Source organism: Homo sapiens, chromosome 11, assembly GCF_000001405.40.
Source record: "Homo sapiens chromosome 11, GRCh38.p14 Primary Assembly".
Taxonomy (NCBI): domain Eukaryota; kingdom Metazoa; phylum Chordata; class Mammalia; order Primates; family Hominidae; genus Homo; species Homo sapiens.
The window spans coordinates 56,276,927-56,296,539 of record NC_000011.10 but is presented as its reverse complement, the minus strand read 5'-3'; the positions used below and the strand labels follow the sequence as shown (position 1 = coordinate 56,296,539).

The window sequence follows — 19,613 nt, the reverse complement described above, 5'->3', positions numbered from 1 at the left end:
TGACAAATTTATGTATGTTATAATTAAAACAAACGTGGATGGCTTCAGTAATTCAATTATGCCAACAACTAGGAAAATAGCAGAGTAACATCAAAAAGCATAACACAAACTAAATGAGAACTTAGAGACTTGCAGTTTGTAAGTTTAATTATTATTTCATTATATGGACCACTAACACCCTGTATTTGGAGGTCAATTCAGAATATAAATTATTCAGACATAGACATGTACAAGGAAATAAGAGGCATCCGAACATTCATATGTGAGTATGCCATCACACTGAAACAGGTTCAAAATTATTACATTGAGAACATGCAATTTTTGTCATTCTGTGCCTGGCTTATATCACGTAACTGCATTGTTTGTATTAGACTGGTGCAAAAGTAATGGCAGTTTTTGTTATTAAAACAAAACAAAACAAACATAAAACAAACGGCAAAAGCCGCCATTACTTTTGCACCAACATAATAACTCAATGGATAAAGGCTTGGAAGACGGATAAACCATTTTCCAAGATGTGCTTATTTCACATTGCATGCCTGTATCAGAACATCGCATGTACCCCATAAATATACACATTTACTATGGACCCATAAAAAACTAAAAAATGTTTTAAAAACTAAAAAAAAAAATTAAATTGACAATATAATTTGACATTCTGTTTTCTCAGCTATTGGCAACTTGAGAGTAGAAAAATGGAAGATGAAGGAATAAGAACAGTTACATTTTACTAAAAATATTAAATGACAGCTGATCACCTGAAAGCAAAGAGTACAGAACTAAACAAACAAACAAAAAATAAAAATAACAAAGCAAATATTAGCCACAATGAAAAATGAAAGATTGAAATAATTTCAGTGCCATCACTAATGGAACAACAGATACCAGGCAGTATAGAGAAATCTCTTGATACTATGGAGTCATTTGCCCCTAACAGATGAGTTCTTCATCATATATGTATGAACACAATTTTAGATTACATAGAAAAGTGCTCTGTTTATGGCATATATTTTCTATAAAAAAAGGAGAGTTTAATTTATCATTAACTATAGATGTCTCATTGGTGGTAGCATAATTCCTAGAATATTTTGGATATATACAGAGACTCTTGCATCTCCAAATCAAACGGAAAAACTTTGTTAATTCTATAGCATTAAAGGAAGAAAATGTGTGTGTATTGTTCATGTGTGTGGGGTGGGAGAGGTGGTGCTTTCCTTGAAAAGAGACTTAAACCTGATTTAATGAACTCTCCCAGGTGTTTTTAGAAGATAACCATTGAAAAAGTTTTATCAGTACCGGTCTGGCCAACATTGTGAAAACCAGTCTCTACCAAAAATATATAAAAAGTACCCAGATGTGGTGGCACACACCTGTAGTCCTAGCTATTAGGGAGGCTGAAGCAGAAGAATCGCTTGAACCCAGAGGCAGACGCTGCAGTGAGCCAAGATCATACCACTGCACTTCAGCCTGGGCAATAGAGTGACACTCCATCTCTAAAAATAAATAAATAAAAATCAATCAATCAATATTTGTAAGATAAAAATAATTTTAACTCAAAATTTTAAAAAATTAGAATTATAATTTTATTAAGATTTTAATAACTTAATGACTAAGCATAACTGAGGTTAATCTTAGTCAAATAAGAAATAAAAAATTAACTTTACACTATTTTCATAATATGCCACAATAGGAATAATTCAGATCATCTATATAAGTGAAAAGTGACACCCAGATGAATAATGCAAATATTAAATTCTGGTATTATTAAACAGGTAACCATAAGAAAATACTTTTACTAGGTATTTTCATTACCTAGTCAAAGTATGCAACCTGATAAAGTAGGGGAAATAAAATAATAAAACACAAATAACTAAAATAACTAACGAATAAGCAAGTTAGTAAGTATTTGAACAAAATTTATCAAAAAAAGTTCATTTTTTTTATTGAGTCAAAGATGAAAGACAAAGAAAACAATAGTAAACATAATCCAGAAGAGAGAGAGAGATTGAGAGAGAGAGAATAGAAGGGGCATAAGTAACATGGTTTAAAACATAATGACTTAAGGCCAGGCACAGTGGTTCACACCTGTAATCCCAGAACTTTGAGAGGCCAAGGCAGCAACATCGCTTGAGCCCAGGAGTTCGGGACAAGCCTTTGCAACTTAGTGAGACCCTGTCTCTACAAAAAATAAGCCCAGCCTGGTAGCAAGCACCTGTAGTCCCAGATACTTGGGAGGCTGAGGCAGGAGGATCGCTTGAACCCAGGAGGTGGACGTTGCAATGAGTCAAGACAGCACAACTGCACTCCAGCCTGGGCAACAAAGCGAGACTCTGTCTCTAAATAAATAAATAATAACAAAAATAAAATATAATTACCTAGAGCATTACACTATATATCATTTAAATTGAGAGATTTAAAATCTCTGATCAGAATTAGGCTTTTGCCATGACATAGTAAATGGTAAAATAATTTTCTTGCCATTATAAACAACTCTGAACCTGAACAAAATAGTTTTTAACGTTAGAAAAAACATGAGCAAGAAAACCCCTTGTTCATGGCAACTTTGCAATCACCAAGTCTATTGAGGTGGCCTTGACGTAAAAAGTCACTTTTTGCCTCTTATTTGGCTTAAAACCTAATGATACCTATTGTCAAAGGGTGTGATTCTGGCTTTTTAATCTCCACATTAGCCTGTCTCAGGATCACTAAATTTCTGATGAACAGAATTGCTCTTCCAAAAACTCATCAAATGTACAATAAATACATACAAAAGTAGCCGCTTTATACATACCAACAAATTATCTCCTGAAATTCTAGATTATGGTCATGCTTCCTTCTAGACTCACTTTTAAATTTACATGAAAATTGATTTTATTATCATTACTTAACACAAAACCACATTAATATTTTACCCTGATTCACACTGTGTTTTCTTCCAGACTCTTCCTTTGCTTCCCCATCTTGGGCAAATAGTTCTCTGTACAATAGTTCAGCTCAATTTCTATATACTTTTAACCCATATTTAAGAAAAAATTTGACCTGATTATATATGGAGGAAGTAAGTTTTAAGCAACTAAATTCATTATAAAATGTTTATTGGTCTCAGGGCTGATTGTGTCCTTTTGCTCTCACTTTTATTTCATAAAAATTTAAAAAGTACATGAAAATAGCAAAACATATTGCACAAATATTTCATGTAGATGAATTAGGTGACACTGCCAAACCAGAATAAATCACCTGCATCACTTTTTTGGTAATGCTTCAAAATGTCTACTTATCAGCTGGTAAACAGTTAGTTAACTTAGTAAGTTATCCCCGGGGCACTAGCCAAAACCTGAACCATAGAATTGTAGGGTTTATAAAAGGTTAATATAACACAGTTCATGGCATAGCAAAAAATTTTGGTTATCAGATGATGAAAATACACTGAATATATAGTATTATTATGCAACCTATACATACATGTACATATAGGAATTAAGTGCACAAAAGAAAATAATTAGTAAAAATTATACTGTTTACAAAATGTTAACAGTTTAGAATTATTTTCATTTTCTTTTTTGAATTTTGTTATATTCTGATTCTTTTTTTTTTTTTTTTTTTTTTTTTTGAGACAGAGTCTCGCTCTTTTGCCCAGGCCGGACTGCAGTGGCACTGTCTCGGCTCACTGCAAGCTCCGCCTCCAGGGTTCACGCCATTCTCCTGCCTCAGCCTCCTGAGTAGCTGGGACTACAGGCGCCCGCCACGGTGCCCAGCTAATTTTTTGTATTTTTAGTAGAGACGGGGTTTCACCGTGTTAGCCAGTATGGTCTCGATCTACTGACCTCGTGATCCGCCCGCCTTCGCCTCCCAAAGTGCTGGGATTACAGGCGTGAGCCACCGCGCCCGGCCGATTCTTTTCTAATTAACATGTTTACTTCTATGATAGTATCATACATTTAAATATACAAAATTTTAATTGAAAAAAATGTGTTATTCCATCTTTGATGGTGTCAGAGAATAATTATTTTTCTGGAAATGGCTTCTCCACCATCCCAGTAAAATATTGAAAACATCACAAGAAAAGACCAATCCATAATTTCCTTCATTTGTGTGGCTTGTAAGGTAAAAAGGAAAACCTTTGCTCAAAATCTATCGTGGCTGTTTTATTCCTTGCACCTTTATCCTTGGAAACATACCAAGCAATTCTTCATTGGAAATTGGTCCACAGGGACTACCAAAAGGTGCATTATCATCAGCCCCTCATATATTAGGTACTCTGGAATTATCAGAGTGAGAGGTAAAGAATAATCTACCTATAGTCACAGAGATTCCCAGTGTTCTTTTGACACACAACTTCCTGGTAATCTTTCCATTTGACCAGGACCTAAACGAAATTTCTAGGTTGGTTTTTTGACACAGAATAAAACAAAATGAATGCACAAAAATGTAAAAACAACTTATCTCAAGGAAAACAAATATTATATCGGAGAAAATTTTATCTCCTTAAATGGTTTTCATATTTTATTTATAAGAAAAATTGAGGTTGACAAATTTCTAGACAGATAATATGAGAAGAAAGCTTTTTCACCAACTTTGGCTCAGACACGGTAAGTATTATTCTCAAAATTGGAAGATTTTATTTCAGATGAAATTAATTCAGGACTTTATCATAAGAATATACATATACATGTCATCTAGTCCTTACCCTGAGTAATGTCCGGGTTTGTGAAAAGAGATATGTAGAGTTGATGGAATCAGAGTCTACAAGCAAAGTACATATTTTGATCATATAATTTTTGGAAGAAATTTGATTTTGATTGGTTAAGTTACTAAAACATCATATTTGTATAAATTAATACTTATATATGGTCTATAATTTTAATGTATCCTGCTAAAATCCTTAAGTGTGAAATTTATTTAAAATTACCATTAAATAATATTAGAAACAAAGGGGCAGTAAATAATCTATTAAAAACTGTTTCCTCTCATTGTTTATTACATGTTTAGCTCTTTCTCAGGTTTTCTGAAATTATTTATAAACAGGAGTATAGTATTATAAGCCTTCTCTCTGAAGTCAACATATGTTGGCAGAATCAGCGTCAACATTTAATTGTTCTGACTTTGGATAAGTTACTCAAACCTTCCATACTCTTTTTTTCTCGGCTAAAATATGTCGATAATAGTAGTATCTATGGCATAGTATTTTCTTGTGGATTAAATGTATTAATAAAGGAAGGCATTCAGAACAAGGTCAGGTTCATTCTAATTATGCAATATGTTACATTTTATTATATCACATCTAAATGTTAATTTACACTTTTATCTACATTGGCAATATAATTCCGTTTTAAGGTCACATTCTATAAATGTATTAGCAATTTATAGAAACACTAAATGAATTAAATGCTAGGTTATTGTATAATCAGAAACCTTTTGAAGTCATTCATGTTAAGTATCAACTTTGATTTCTCAGCAGTTTAAAGCAATTGAACATCATGGGTAGAAGAAATAACACAAATGTGCCTGACTTCATCCTTACGGGACTGTCAGATTCTGAAGAGGTCCAGATGGCCCTCTTTATACTATTTCTCCTGATATACCTAATTACTATGCTGGGCAATGTGGGGATGATATTGATAATCCGCCTGGACCTCCAGCTTCACACTCCCATGTATTTTTTCCTTACTCACTTGTCATTTATTGACCTCAGTTACTCAACTGTCATCACACCTAAAACCTTAGCGAACTTACTGACTTCCAACTATATTTCCTTCATGGGCTGCTTTGCCCAGATGTTCTTTTTTGTCTTCTTGGGAGCTGCTGAATGTTTTCTTCTCTCATCAATGGCCTATGATCGCTACGTAGCTATCTGCAGTCCTCTACGTTACCCAGTTATTATGTCCAAAAGGCTGTGTTGCGCTCTTGTCACTGGGCCCTATGTGATTAGCTTTATCAACTCCTTTGTCAATGTGGTTTGGATGAGCAGACTGCATTTCTGCGACTCAAATGTAGTTCGTCACTTTTTCTGCGACACGTCTCCAATTTTAGCTCTGTCCTGCATGGACACATACGACATTGAAATCATGATACACATTTTAGCTGGTTCCACCCTGATGGTGTCCCTTATCACAATATCTGCATCCTATGTGTCCATTCTCTCTACCATCCTGAAAATTAATTCCACTTCAGGAAAGCAGAAAGCTTTGTCTACTTGTGCCTCTCATCTCTTGGGAGTCACCATCTTTTATGGAACTATGATTTTTACTTATTTAAAACCAAGAAAGTCTTATTCTTTGGGAAGGGATCAAGTGGCTTCTGTTTTTTATACTATTGTGATTCCCATGCTGAATCCACTCATTTATAGTCTTAGAAACAAAGAAGTTAAAAATGCTCTCATTAGAGTCATGCAGAGAAGACAGGACTCCAGGTAATTAAAATAGCAGGAATGCTGAACATTTAAACTCATCTTTTCTTTCTTTTCTATTTGGTATGTCCTTGGTCTCCCTATAAAAACAATTGAATCCTTCATGTTTGCATTTCTGTTGTGCTAACCTTTGCTTGACTAAACGTGATCTTGAACATTTCAAGGTGTATGTTTTCAGAAATCCAGATTGTAATTAGAAATCATAATATGTGTTGGCCGGGCACGGTGGCTCATGCCTATAATCCCAGCACTCTGGGAGGCCGAGGTGGGTGGATCACATGAGGTCAGAAGTTCAAGACCAGCCTAGCCATGATGAAATGTGGTCTGTAGTAAAAATACAAAAAATTAGCTGGGTGTGGTGGTGCATGCCTGTAATCCCAGCTACTTGCGGGGCTGAGGTAGGAGAATCGCTTCAATCTGGGAGGCAGAGGTTGCAGTGAGCCGAGATCGTGCCATTGGACTCCAGCCTGGGCAACAAGAGCGAAACTCCGTCTCAAAACAAAACAGAACAAAACAAAACAAAACAAAAAATAATAATATGTGTGTCATATTTACAGTCTAAATATATGTTTTTAGAAGCAACTGATGTGGAAAATAAGAAAATATGGTTGTCCTTTAAAATTATATTACACAAATTCCTATGCATACTTCAGTTGTAGGTAAATTTATTATGGAAAACAACGATTTGGGGCACAGTGATAACAGTCTCAGAAGTTATTTCATTTATTATATGGGGAAGAATTATAACAGAGTCTTTAGGAGTACTGTTTTGAAATAAAGTTTTCCAAGAGTTAGATTCTAAATATGCTACATTTTCAGCTATACAACCCAGAATATGTTACCTAAAATTTAAAACTCTCTTTCCTTAAGTGCACAAGATAAATAATAACTCCAAATTTGATCAGAGAGTAGCTGTAAAGTATTTAAGGTGACAATAATCAATGCTGCCTATTCTCATTAGAAGACTTGCATTCCAGCACAATGCCTTTTGTGAAGGATATTCACTTGTGTTTTACAAATTACTTTTGGTTAATTTAATTTACAGGCACACAAGCAACTAAAAAGGAAAAAAAAAGATAATATCAGTAGTTCACAATTTGGACTTTAGGAAATAAAATATTTTGATAAAATTAAGTTATAATAAAATAGCATATATTGTTAGAGAAAATTTGAAAAATATTATAAAATATTAAGGAAAATAGAAACCCTCAAAATATTGAGTTTTGGCTGTTTTGCTTATGGCATAGCCATTCTTTTGTTTCTTTATTTTTCTAATAAACTTGTTTTCAGTTTAAGAAAAACAAATATCGAGTTTTGTGCATGTTCTTCGAGATCAATAGTTTTGAATATGTGCATGTGTATAACATATGTAAACTAAATATCACTTTCTGTGTACTGATTTTCAGCTTTCTGTATCCATTTACAAGTTTAACATTGGATAATCTCTTTGTCATTGACAACGCTAATATAAATTTTTTCTTGGTACATAGGCAAAATCAAGACTCATTTCACAATGTTTTGGACTTGAAATATTAACTCACCACATTAAAAATCTACATGCAGTGATATCTCTTTTGTGTGTTAAACATTTGAAAACTTGACTTCTGTAAAGAGTCAAACTGTTTCTTTGTTAAAATTCTGTGTGTTTTTAAAAATCATTGCCTTGCTCCTGATGTGTACAAGTTTTAGTTTTAAAAATAAATCCTTGAATTAAATGCTTTATTCATTGATTTTTACATTTCTTAATACAGAAAAGTTGTAAAGCAAAGAATTGACGATGAATTCAGATGTTGTGACATCTCATAAACTTTAGTCAGGCAGAGTGATAAAAGGTCTTTTATTTTTAAATTTTTCTTTTACGTATTCTGGAATCACAGTATTGTTTTTCTGTGCTATTTAAAGGTTATTTTAGAAGCTATTTTCCATTTTCCAAGTATTTGATTTTTTATTTAAATTTTTGTAACAGTTACTAGATTGTTTTCATTCAAGCAATTTTTTTTTACCTTTTGAAATTTGTTTTCTTTGTAAAATTGTCCTCTTTGTTTTTTAAGTGCTTTATGGATGTTTAAAATAGAATGTAACCTCCATTTTGAGTTAATATTTTAATGTTTTTTCAGTAATTCAAACTGTCAACTAACTTATTCAGATCTTTTAAATATATATTATTTCCTCTACTTTCTTAATTTATTTCAAAACTTTGCCTTATCAAATACTAATGCTATATAAAATTATTATGATCTAATTTTTGCTTTGATATCCATGTCGTCCAGAATATATATTTATAGGTTCCCCTATTTGTTTTCGTTTGCAATTAGAAACAAGTATGTAGTAGGAATTTATTGTTTAATAATATGTTTTTTGGCTCATTCTCATCTTATAAATGCATGATATAATTTCATGTATTTATAGGCTCTTTCCATTTTTCTAGTCATTTTTATAAGCTATGGTTTTATCTTGCTTTCATTTATGTCTATTTCTATGATTTAGAAAATGGATCCTGTCAATTTGAGTTACAAAGATGGCCAACAGAATCTATCACTTTGTAGACAACACTTATGCTGAGAAATTGCTTAAATTCTATTTTAATTAGGACTACCTTATCCTCTTCATTGTATAAGCTAAAATGTATTCACATAATATTATAGAAAAGTATACAATAATCTATGTGCAATATGAAAGATTTAGACTGTTCACATTTGACTTATACTTTCGCTATTATAGTGATGTAAACTATATTTTATGTAAGATATTGTCTAATTTAAGGCATAGTCCTCTGATTCATAGTGTCATGCCAAAGTGCCATATAACATAAATACAAAAAAACCCTGTAATTCAGCATAGCAAAATATGAACAGCTATTTTTTCTTTCAAATAATGATGGCTAGATGAAAATAATAATAATTTTTTTTTCTGAGCACTGTTCAGACAATATTCAATGGGCTTTAGATATATAATTAACATACTTTATCATTATAATTTAACTGCCAGGTCAGTACTAGCAATATCTAAATTTTAATCACACATTAATGGAAAACCACCCTTTACTTGGTCAAGCAAAGATTTAAGAATTATGTTGAAGTAATGTGATTATTATGCATTGTCTTCCTGCATCAAATTATCTCATATACTCTAAATATGTATCTATTATGTACCCACAAAAAAAGTCAAATTAAGAATTTTTAAAAAGTAAATAAAACACAGAGGAGCTCCAGAACTGGGTAAATATAGGCTTTAGCTTAAGCTGAAACAGAGCATTCAAGCCAGCAATGGGTGGGCCTGGGGCCTTTACTTGGCTTGAAGTGAGGACACTGCCCTCCTCTCCTGAGGACTCATTTGTACACTCAGCTCATATTATTATGTAATTCTTGTCACCTTTCAATAACTTTTCTTACAAGCCTAACTATTTCTTTCAACTCTATGTGGCCAGGAGAGGCTTTCTGTAACTGTTTCAGATATAGACACACATCTTAGGGAGAACTGTCTGCGAGTGACAGCTTTCTCAGCCACAAGTCAGAGAGGTGGAGAAATCATTTTAAATTCTGGGCATTCGATCAAATATTCAGAAAAGGACACTTTGCCCTTTGAAAGTTGAACAATAAGCAGAAGTGCAGCCTGGGAAGCAAATGTACTTCTGATTATTTAAACTGAAGTTCTAGAGAGGACGGGATAGTCAGTGGTTCCAGCAACTTCAATGGGGGAATTTCAGGCTAATGCAGAAAACAAATGCAAAGGAATATCAAAGTAGTCCTGGTAACATCAGAATCCTATTGATACACTCACATCTCGGAAAGTGTTTGTCTCAGACTTTTGCAATTAATATCTGCAAACTGTGTTTGCAGTTTGAATGGTTTTCATCAATTAGTAAGAATCTATACCCATGTCCTTGTGTTTGCTTTTCTTTTGTATCATCAGCTCATAGACATTTAATGCAATACTAAGAAAACATGCTCTCTCCCCACCGAAAAAAAAAGAATTATCTTGGAATTTTATTTTTATTAAACACACTTTACTTCCATTCAATTAATATATTAAAGTTCTTCTAAATATGGAATACATTTGGTGTCTGAACACATTTTTTGCTACCATCCTGGCCCAGATAACTGTCTTTTTAGTGTCAGAATTATTGCTGTAGTGTGGTAGCATGCATGTAATTTTATTCTTATTCCTCTTGAGTTGAATCTCTATATAGGAGCCAGAGTTATACTGTTAAATAGTAGGTTGGATTATATCATTTCTCTTCACAAACCCTATACAGTATTTCCTCACACTAAAAATAAAAACCAAGAACTTTATAAGTGTTCATTGGTTGAAAATGATGTCCTCAATTCTTAAGTCTATGAACTTATTTCTTATTATTCCACCTGTCACACTTACTTTGTCTCTATTCCATTATCTCCCAGCTCTTCGCTGTAAATAGTATTACTAACACTGCCTGAAGTTTTCCATTTTCTCTTCTTCCTGAAGCTTCCTTCCCACAGATAACTGCATGATTTTTTAAAAAATTTTTATTTCCATACATTTTTTGGGGAACAGGTGGTATTTGGTTACATGAGCAAGCTTTTTAGTGGTGATTTGTGAGATTTTGGTGCACCCATCTCCAGAACAGTATACACTGAACCCAGTTGTAGTCTTTTATCCCTTACCCCCCTCTTACCCTCTCCCTCAAGTCCCCAAAGTCCATTGTGTAATTCTTATGCCTTTGCATCTGCATAGCTTAGCTCCCACTTATAAGTGAGAACATACAATGTTTGGTTTTCCATTCCTGAGTTACTTCACTTAGAATAATAGTCTCCAGTTCCATCCAGATTGCTGTTAAAGCCATTAATTCATTCCTTTTTATGGCTGAGTAGTATTCCATCATATATCCATATATATGGAATATATACACATAGAGCAATATTTTCTCCACTCATTGATTGATGGGCATTTAGGATTCTTTTCTTAACAAAAAAAAATCCCTTACACCCTATTAAAGGCATTAACAAAATAATAGAGGTTATTAAAGGGGATATGCTGCTGATAAACATTCTCTAGGGCTGTTGATAGAGGAGAGTATGATTTTGGCAGTACTAGCTAAATCTCAGATGTATAGGTACAGTCCTATTTACAGAAAAAGCACTCAATAAAGGAAAGAACAGTTTATCAGATGATGGGATGGTGCTGGGGAGAGAATTTGTATTTAATCAGGATACAGGCTTTTCTGATGTTAAAGAAAAAAAAAAGGATTCAGAAACAGAGTGACCCAACAACAACAAAGTATCCTTAAATATAACCTGCAGAGTGTTCTTTGTTTTATTCTTATTACTCTTGACCTGACTAGACTTTGTGGGGAGCTGTTTTTCACAAGGCAATCTTAGGACACAGGTTCTTCTATGTTATTGCTCTATTATCTCCCTGATGTCTTCTTCTATGTTGTTGAAGAGAGTTAATCTAGTACTTTGCCCACATTCTAGTCTGAGAGAAAGGTGAGATTTTTTGACAGTAAGGAAGACAATTCCAAACGTTGTGTTCATATGGATGGTTTTTAGAACATATTCAATTTTTTAAGTAGACATAGGACTACCCTGGTTACCCCTTTCTTCTGATGTAAGCTTCTTTACATTTTTCATTTGTATTTTTCATTTAATTGTCAATTTTATTAGCAAAATGTTGTTTATAATGTTCTTATTTTCCTTGTCATATTTGTAGGGACCAGAGTAAAATACCTTATTTCATTCCTGATATTGGTTATATTTCTCTTCTGTCTTCTTAGTGTTGACCCTGGATTATAAAAACATGTTTTATGTATTATAGTTTACCTAAAATAATCTATATCTCAACTTTTCACATAAGACCTTTAGAGTAAAGTCAGATCTCTCCCATTCCTTTTGCTATATTTGTCATAAATTTTACATTTACCAAAATGTTTAAAGAAGAACTAATACCAATCCTACTTAACTATTCCAAAAACTAGAGGATGGGTACTTCCAAACTCATTCTACAAGTCCAGTATACCAAAACCAGACAGACCCATTGAAACAAACAAACAAACAAACAAAAAAGAAGCTATAGGTCAAATCCCTGATGAACATCAATACAAAAATTCTCAACAAACTACTAGCAGACCAATTTCAACAACGGTTTAAAAATATCATTGATTATGTTGAAGTGGGAATTATCCCAGGCATGCAAGTATTTTTTGATATACACAAATCAATCAAAGTGATACATGATATTGACAGAATGAAGGACCAAAAACATGAACATTTCAATTGATACTGAAAAAGGATTTGATAAAATTCAACATCCCTTCATGACAAAAACCCTCCAAAAACTGAGTATAAGAGGAACATAACTCTATATAATAAAAGCCATGTATGTCAGACCCACAACTAGTAACATACTGAATGGCAAAAAAAACTGAATGTTTTTCCTCTAAGATCTAGAACACGACAAGAATGCCCATGTTCAACATTATTATTTGAAATAGTACCGGAAGTCCTAACTGGAGAAATCAGACAATAGAAAGAAATAAAGAGGATTTAAATTGAAAAGAAAGGAGTCAAATTATTCTTATTTGCAGACGATATGACCTTATATTTGAAAAAACCTAGAGACTCCACCAGAAAACTAATTAAAAAGCTGATAACAAATTCAATAAAGTTGCAGGATAAAAAATCAACATAAAAAATTAGTAGCATTTTGAGGACTAAGCTCTAATTGTTTTATCTTGCCCACATTCTTATCTAAATGATCTGGGTAGTCATGTCCTAGAAACCATAGATTTTTCAGCAGATGGGTTTTATTTAACCCTATGTATCATAACTTACTTTCCAAACTGACTCTGGCATAACATTATGAAACAAGGAAGAAAATCAAAATATTTTACCCCAAAACATATGTCTTTGCCATATCTTGAAAGGCCCTGTAAAGCTGTCCTTAAAGGAATATTTCCATCTGTAAAGAATCTCTATTAACATAGATATATGTTTTTTCTTCCAGGCCCTCCCAATCCTAATGAGATAAATTAAAAGTCTAGCACCTTTTAAAGATCTAAATAGGAAACATTTGTCATCTATTGTCTCTAAGGGCAGACACTATAAGACTTCAAAAGAACCTTGGTCTCCACAATCTTTTATCTTAATCTGAACATTTCCTTTCTATGGATTCCAGATCTTTAGACAAACTCAACCAATTATCAACCAGAAAATGTTTAAATTTACCTATAGCCTGAAACCTGCTGCCTCCCACTGTTTGACTTGTCCCACCATTTTGGACCAAACCAATGTATTTCTTAAAAGTATTTGATTGATGTTTCATGCCTCCCTAAACTGTATAAAAACCAAACTCTGCCTTGACCACCTTGGGCACATGTTGTCAGGACCTCATGGGGGCTGTGTAATGGGCAATGGCCACCCATATTTGGCCCTGAATAAATCTCTTCAAATATTTTACAGAGTTTGACTCTTTCTTTTGACCATTTCTATACACTGCAAACTGAAAATATTGATGACAGGTCTCAGTCAATTTAGAAAGTTTATTTTGCCAAGGTTCAGGACACCCCTGTGACACAGACTCAGGAGGTACTGATGACATATGCCCAACGTGGTCAGGGTAAAACTTGGTTTTACACATTTTATGGATACAATGCATCAATCATATTTTTACATTGGTTCAATGTGGAAAAGTGGAACAACTTGAAGAAGGGGAAGGTCATAGATAGATTTAAAGATATTCTGATTGGTAATTGTCTAAAACAGTTATTATCAATAGAAAGGAATTTCTGGGTTAAGATAAGGAGTTGTGGAGACCAAGGTTTTATCATGCAGATGAAGCCTCCAGGTAGCAGGTTTAGAACAGATTGTAAATGTTACTTATCAGACCTACAGTCTGTGTTGATGTTAATACTGGAGGAGTATAGTGAGGCACATAGGACCCTCACTTACAGTCATGGCCTGATCCAGTCTTTGAGGTTAATTTTAGAGTGCCCTGGCCTAGGAGGGAGTCCATTCAGATGGTTGTGGGATGAGGAAGGGGATTTGAATTTTATTTTTGGATTACAATGTCAGTAGCAATCAATTCAAAAGTAAAAATAAAAAGTCTGCAATATTTACAAATAAAGTTAAATACTTAGGAATTAACTTAACCAAAGAAGTGAAAGAGCTGTACCATGCAAACTATAAAACATAAATGAAAGAAATTGAGGAGGACACATGATAAAAGAAAAACTTCAGCCAAATTAAATTTAAAGGAATTTTGTTAAGCAAAGAATGATTAGCAAATTGGGCAGTCACTGAAGCCAGAGTAGGCTCTGAGATTCCAGTGCAGCCACATGGTGGAAGATTTATGGATAGAAAAAGAAAATGACATACAGAAAACAAAAGTGAGGTATAGAAATAGCTGAATTGGTTATAGGTTGGTGTTTGCCATGTTTGAACATGGTTCAAACAGTTGGCTCCATTTGATTGGCCAAAACTTGGTGATTGGCACAGATGTAGGCTTCAGTCTGTTTACACCTCCACTTGTTCTAGTTTGTGATGTACAAAGAAACCTTTTGGCCAAAGTTAAAATACGTAATGAGGCAGCTTCAGGTTAAACTCGATTTAATAATTTCTCTCTTTGGTCATCTCAATTTTTAAAGGTGGACAAAAAGTTTAGTAATTGATGTCAGTTTCACCAGTATAAATGTACTTATTTGGGCTTGAAAGCCACTGGGAAATAGCAAAACAGTAGGTTTTGTAAGATGGGAACAGGGACTTCAGGTTATTTATTCATTTTTTTGAAAGGGTTAGAATAGAGGGTACCTCCTTATGCTGGAACATCCTTTTTACAGGAGAGAAAACAAAACCTGGTGTGTTCTAGGATCTAAGCGTATCCTTAAAGTCTTAGCTTAATTATGTCACATTTAGCATGAATGACTCCATTTTGGTTTAGTCTGGTCTGTTGGGGCCTAGTGCATAAGCTCAGTCCAAAACAATGACCGCTCATAATTTTGTTTAAAAATTTTCCACTTTTGTTCATGTTCTCAGGTGAGATTGCGACAAACACTTAGGGCCTAAGCACCACTCTCAGTTACCACCATTTTGGGTTTCCAGTCTCATCATGTCTCTCATAAGTTACGGTGCCCATATGGTCACACATTTCTTTCAGGTCTTGTCATTCCAGTTGAAGAGACACCATTTGACATTCTAAGGATGGCTCCATGCAAACATTTAAAATTTTTAAGATAATACAGTGCACCAGGGAAACTACTATTATCAGGAGGATAATACCAAGAGTTTGGAGTATGCTCCTTACCCAGGTTCCCCCTAAACCAAACCACCTAAAATCAAAAAGATAAAAGAATGAGCTAAAAAGTCTACTCACTTTACTAAGCAGTCTCTTTGTTAATCCCCTCTATAAGACCTGATGTGATATATTTCTCCATAGGCCACAAGTGCCAGCAGCTACACAGATACTTCTCTGTTTAGCCAGTAAGTAATGTAGAGCAATTCTATTATTTAGCATAACTTTTACAAGAGAATTTAAAGTCTGTTGTATAATCATCACCTATACAATAGAATCTGCTATAGAGCCTATCATGAGGGATACATTCCTAATCATTGCGTCTTTTACTTAAAACCATGGAAAAAGAGGACCTAACAAATGATGCCATTCTAGTAAAGGGCCTACTTTTAATGTTCTCTTTAACCTGTGAGGTAGGTTAAAAGGAGTGAACCAATGTTCTGTTTCTGACTGATTTTGAGGCAACATATGTACCATTAAAATTTCTCATCTACCTTGGGCCTTCGTTTTCCATCTATCAAGGTATTAGGTTATCCATGTATAAGGCTGGCTTCAAAATCCTTTACAAATAAAAGTATACCCCATGAGTGCACACAACATACTCCCATTTCACTTCTATTGTTCATAGAGACTTAAGCAAGGGAAAAAAAGATTCAAAGATAAGAGTCTCATGATAGTAGAGAAATCTTCATCTGTGATCTTGGGAAAAAGCTGTTCACATCAAAGATGCTATCTTCTTCTGTGGAGAAACATCCCTGGTTACCTTTACCTTAAGGGTTCCAAAGGGAAGTGTACAATTTCACTTGTGTGGACGGACCCTTCTGAGTTGTGAGATTTTGAACCCAAGATTCAAGGTATTGAAGTTTTGCTACAGTGTGGATGACAAGGGCAGTATTTCTCTGATGTTCTCAAAAGATCCAGTCTTTGGGTTCTAGATTGTAAAGGGGTTTATTGTCCTCAGTCAGCAAACTATAAAAAAGCTTTCTTTACCTGGTGAACATATACTGTAGCATAATAATCTACTGTTATAACATCAGCCCTCTTGTATGAGAAAACTTTTATACAACCAAAACCCATGCATTGAAAATGACAATTGTATGAAGTCCCTCTATAAATGTTTGAGTGATCCATCAGGTAGTGAAATGTACCTGAAGCTTTGATTGTTTTCCTAGGAATATGGGTTTGACAAACCAAACATTGGTCATAAACTATTTCAGCAATTTAGAAGTCACCACACCAATATATATTTAATTTGGATCATTTTATCTTTTGCATGATGAGTCACAGAATGCAGAACTCTTAACAACAAAGCTTTAGGGACTCAGGAAGGACAAGGTGGCTTTCCTGGTTCTCCACAAGTCCAGGCTTAACATTAAACTTGTGTCCTCTTGAATATCAGTTGTTTCTCCAATTTAGGTGCATAGCACTGATAACTGATGGGTTATCGTAAGTAAATTGACTCAGACCATGGAGTTCATTCAAACTGTATATCTAAACAATTGTAGTAATGGCTGATGTAGCATAAAAATCTGGCAAAGTATTTTCTTGCTATTCAATTATTCTTTGTTCTACTTGGGTTTGCAGTTTTATAAACCAGTTAGTCCTTTCATTAAAGTTGAGGAAATTCTCACCCAGTCCAAATGATATGATTCTAAAGTTATCAGAAAGCTGTATTTATTCAAGAATGAGTGCTTTTCAGGGTCCTTTCTATCCTTTCATGAACCTCCTAAAAGATACCATATTCTAGGATTTTGTGTGCTTGTGAGGTTTTCAGAAACTGCATCAGAATTAAACAATTAATCATGGAAATGACTTTAAATAGTCATAGTAACAGACAACTGACAAAAAAATTTGGTTACTTCTGTGTTCTAAAATAGCTTAAATAATGACCATAATTATGACTGATAGCCTACACTAAGACATATTCAAATTTTAGAAATTTCATCCATCAATGCATGTAAAATTCCATTGGTTTGATGTGGAAGGGTGGGACAACTTGAAGCAGGAGGTGGGGAGGGGTGGGACTTCCAGGTCATTGGTAGATTTGAGTAGATTCTGATTGGCAATTGGTTGAAAGAGTTGTTTTCTGTAGAAAGAAATGTCTGGATTAAGATAAGGGATTGTGCAGACCAAGGTTTTATCATGCAGTTGAAGCCTCCAAGTAGCAAGCTTAGAATAGATTGTAAATGTTTCTCATGAGACTTACAGTCTGTGTTGATGCTAGCACTGGAGGATTATAATGAGGCACATCAGATCCTACTTCCAGTCATGGCCTAATCTGGTCTTTCACATTAAATTTTAGAGTCCCCTGCCCGAGGAGGGAGTCCATTCAGATGGTTGTGGGGAAGGGTGGGGTGCGGGGGTTTGAATTTTATCTTTGGTTTACGATGCCAATAGCAATCAATCTGAAAAAGAAATTTAAAAATCTACAATATCCATAAATAAAGTTAAATACCTACGAATAACCAAAGAAGTGAAAGATCTGTACCATAAAAACTATAAAATGTTGATGAAATAAATTGAGTAGGACACATAAAATGGAAAGATATTCCATGTTCATGAACTGGAAAAATCAATATTGTTAAAATGCCTGGGCTACCAAAAGCAATCTATAGATTCAATGCAATTCCTATCAAAATACAAATACATTCTTTACAAAAATAAATAAGAACCTTAAAATTTATATGAAAACACAAAAGACCCAGAATAGCCAAAGCTATCATAAGCAAAGAGAAAAAAAAAATGGAGAAATAACATTGTAGGGTCCAGCCCCACAGGGTTGGTGGGTTTTCTCCTTGTGTGCAGAGATGAGAGAGCATAGAAATAAAGACACAAGACAAAGAGATAAAAGAAAAGACAGCTGGGCCTGGGGGACCACTACCACCAAGACACGGAGACTGGTAGTGGCTCTGAATGTCTGGCTGTGCTGTTATTTATTGGATACAAAGTAAAAGGGGCAGGGTAAAGAGTGTGAGTCATCTCTAATGGTAGGTAAGGTCATGTGGGTTACGTGTCCACTGGACAGGGGGCCCTTCCCTGCCTGGCAGCCAAGGCAGAGAGAGAGAGGGAGAGAGAGAGACAGCTTGCGCCATTATTTCTGCATATCAGAGACTTTTAGTACTTTCACTAATTTTGCTACTGTTATCTAAAAGGCAGAGCCAGGTGTACAGGGTGGAACATGAAGGCGGACTAGGAGCGTGACCACTGAAGCACAGTATCACAGGGAGACGGTTAGGCCTCAGGATAACTGTGGGCGGGCCTGACTCATGTCAGGCCCTCCACAAGAGGTGGAGGAGTAGAGTCTTCTCTAAACTCCCCCAGGGAAAGGGAGAATCCCTTTCCTGGTCAGCTAAGTAGCGGGTGTTTTTCCTTGACACTGAGGCTACCGCTAGACCATGGTCAGCTTGGCAACGGGCGTCTTCCCAGACGCTGGCATTACCGCTAGACCAAGGAGACCTCTGGTGACCCTGTCCAGGCAAAACAGAAGGCTCGCACTCTTGCCTTCTGGTCACTTCTCACTATGTCCCCTCAGCTCCTACCTCTGTATGGCCTGGTTTTTCCTAGGTTATGATTATAGAGCGAGGATTATTATAACATTGGAATAAAGAGTAATTGCTACAAACTAATGATTAATGATATTCATATATAATCATGTCTATGATCTAGATCTAGTATAACTCTTATTGTTTTATATATTTTATTATACTGGAACAGCTCGTGCCCTCGGTCTCTTGTCTCAGCACCTGGATGGCTTGCCACCCACATAACATTATCTGACTTCAGATTATACTATGGAACTCATTTTCAACAAAGGTGCCAAGAAAATACATTGGGGAAAGGAGAGCCTCTTCAATAAATGGTGCTGGGAAAACTTACTTTAGCACCCATTATAGAGTTATGTAGGAACACATGAAGCCATAGAATCCAGAGGACATCATTATTA

General features: G+C 34.7%; 1 protein-coding gene across 1 annotated transcript, besides 1 other annotated feature; it reads left to right on the top strand.

Annotated features, from left to right (window-relative positions):
* On the top strand, window positions 4,286-8,078 carry OR8H1 (olfactory receptor family 8 subfamily H member 1). The gene is made up of 2 exons (NM_001005199.2): window positions 4,286-4,589; window positions 5,456-8,078. The coding sequence occupies exon 2, from the start codon at window positions 5,478-5,480 to the stop codon at window positions 6,411-6,413; it is 936 nt and encodes a 311-aa protein (NP_001005199.1). The 5' UTR covers window positions 4,286-4,589; window positions 5,456-5,477; the 3' UTR covers window positions 6,414-8,078.
* Window positions 13,241-13,742: an enhancer, noted in NCBI's record as "NANOG hESC enhancer chr11:56050274-56050775 (GRCh37/hg19 assembly coordinates)". NCBI's record gives its function as "activates a minimal SCP1, AML or CMV promoter by ChIP-STARR-seq in naive H9 embryonic stem cells {active_cell/tissue: H9 hESC(naive)}" and the evidence as "EXISTENCE:reporter gene assay evidence [ECO:0000049][PMID:30033119]".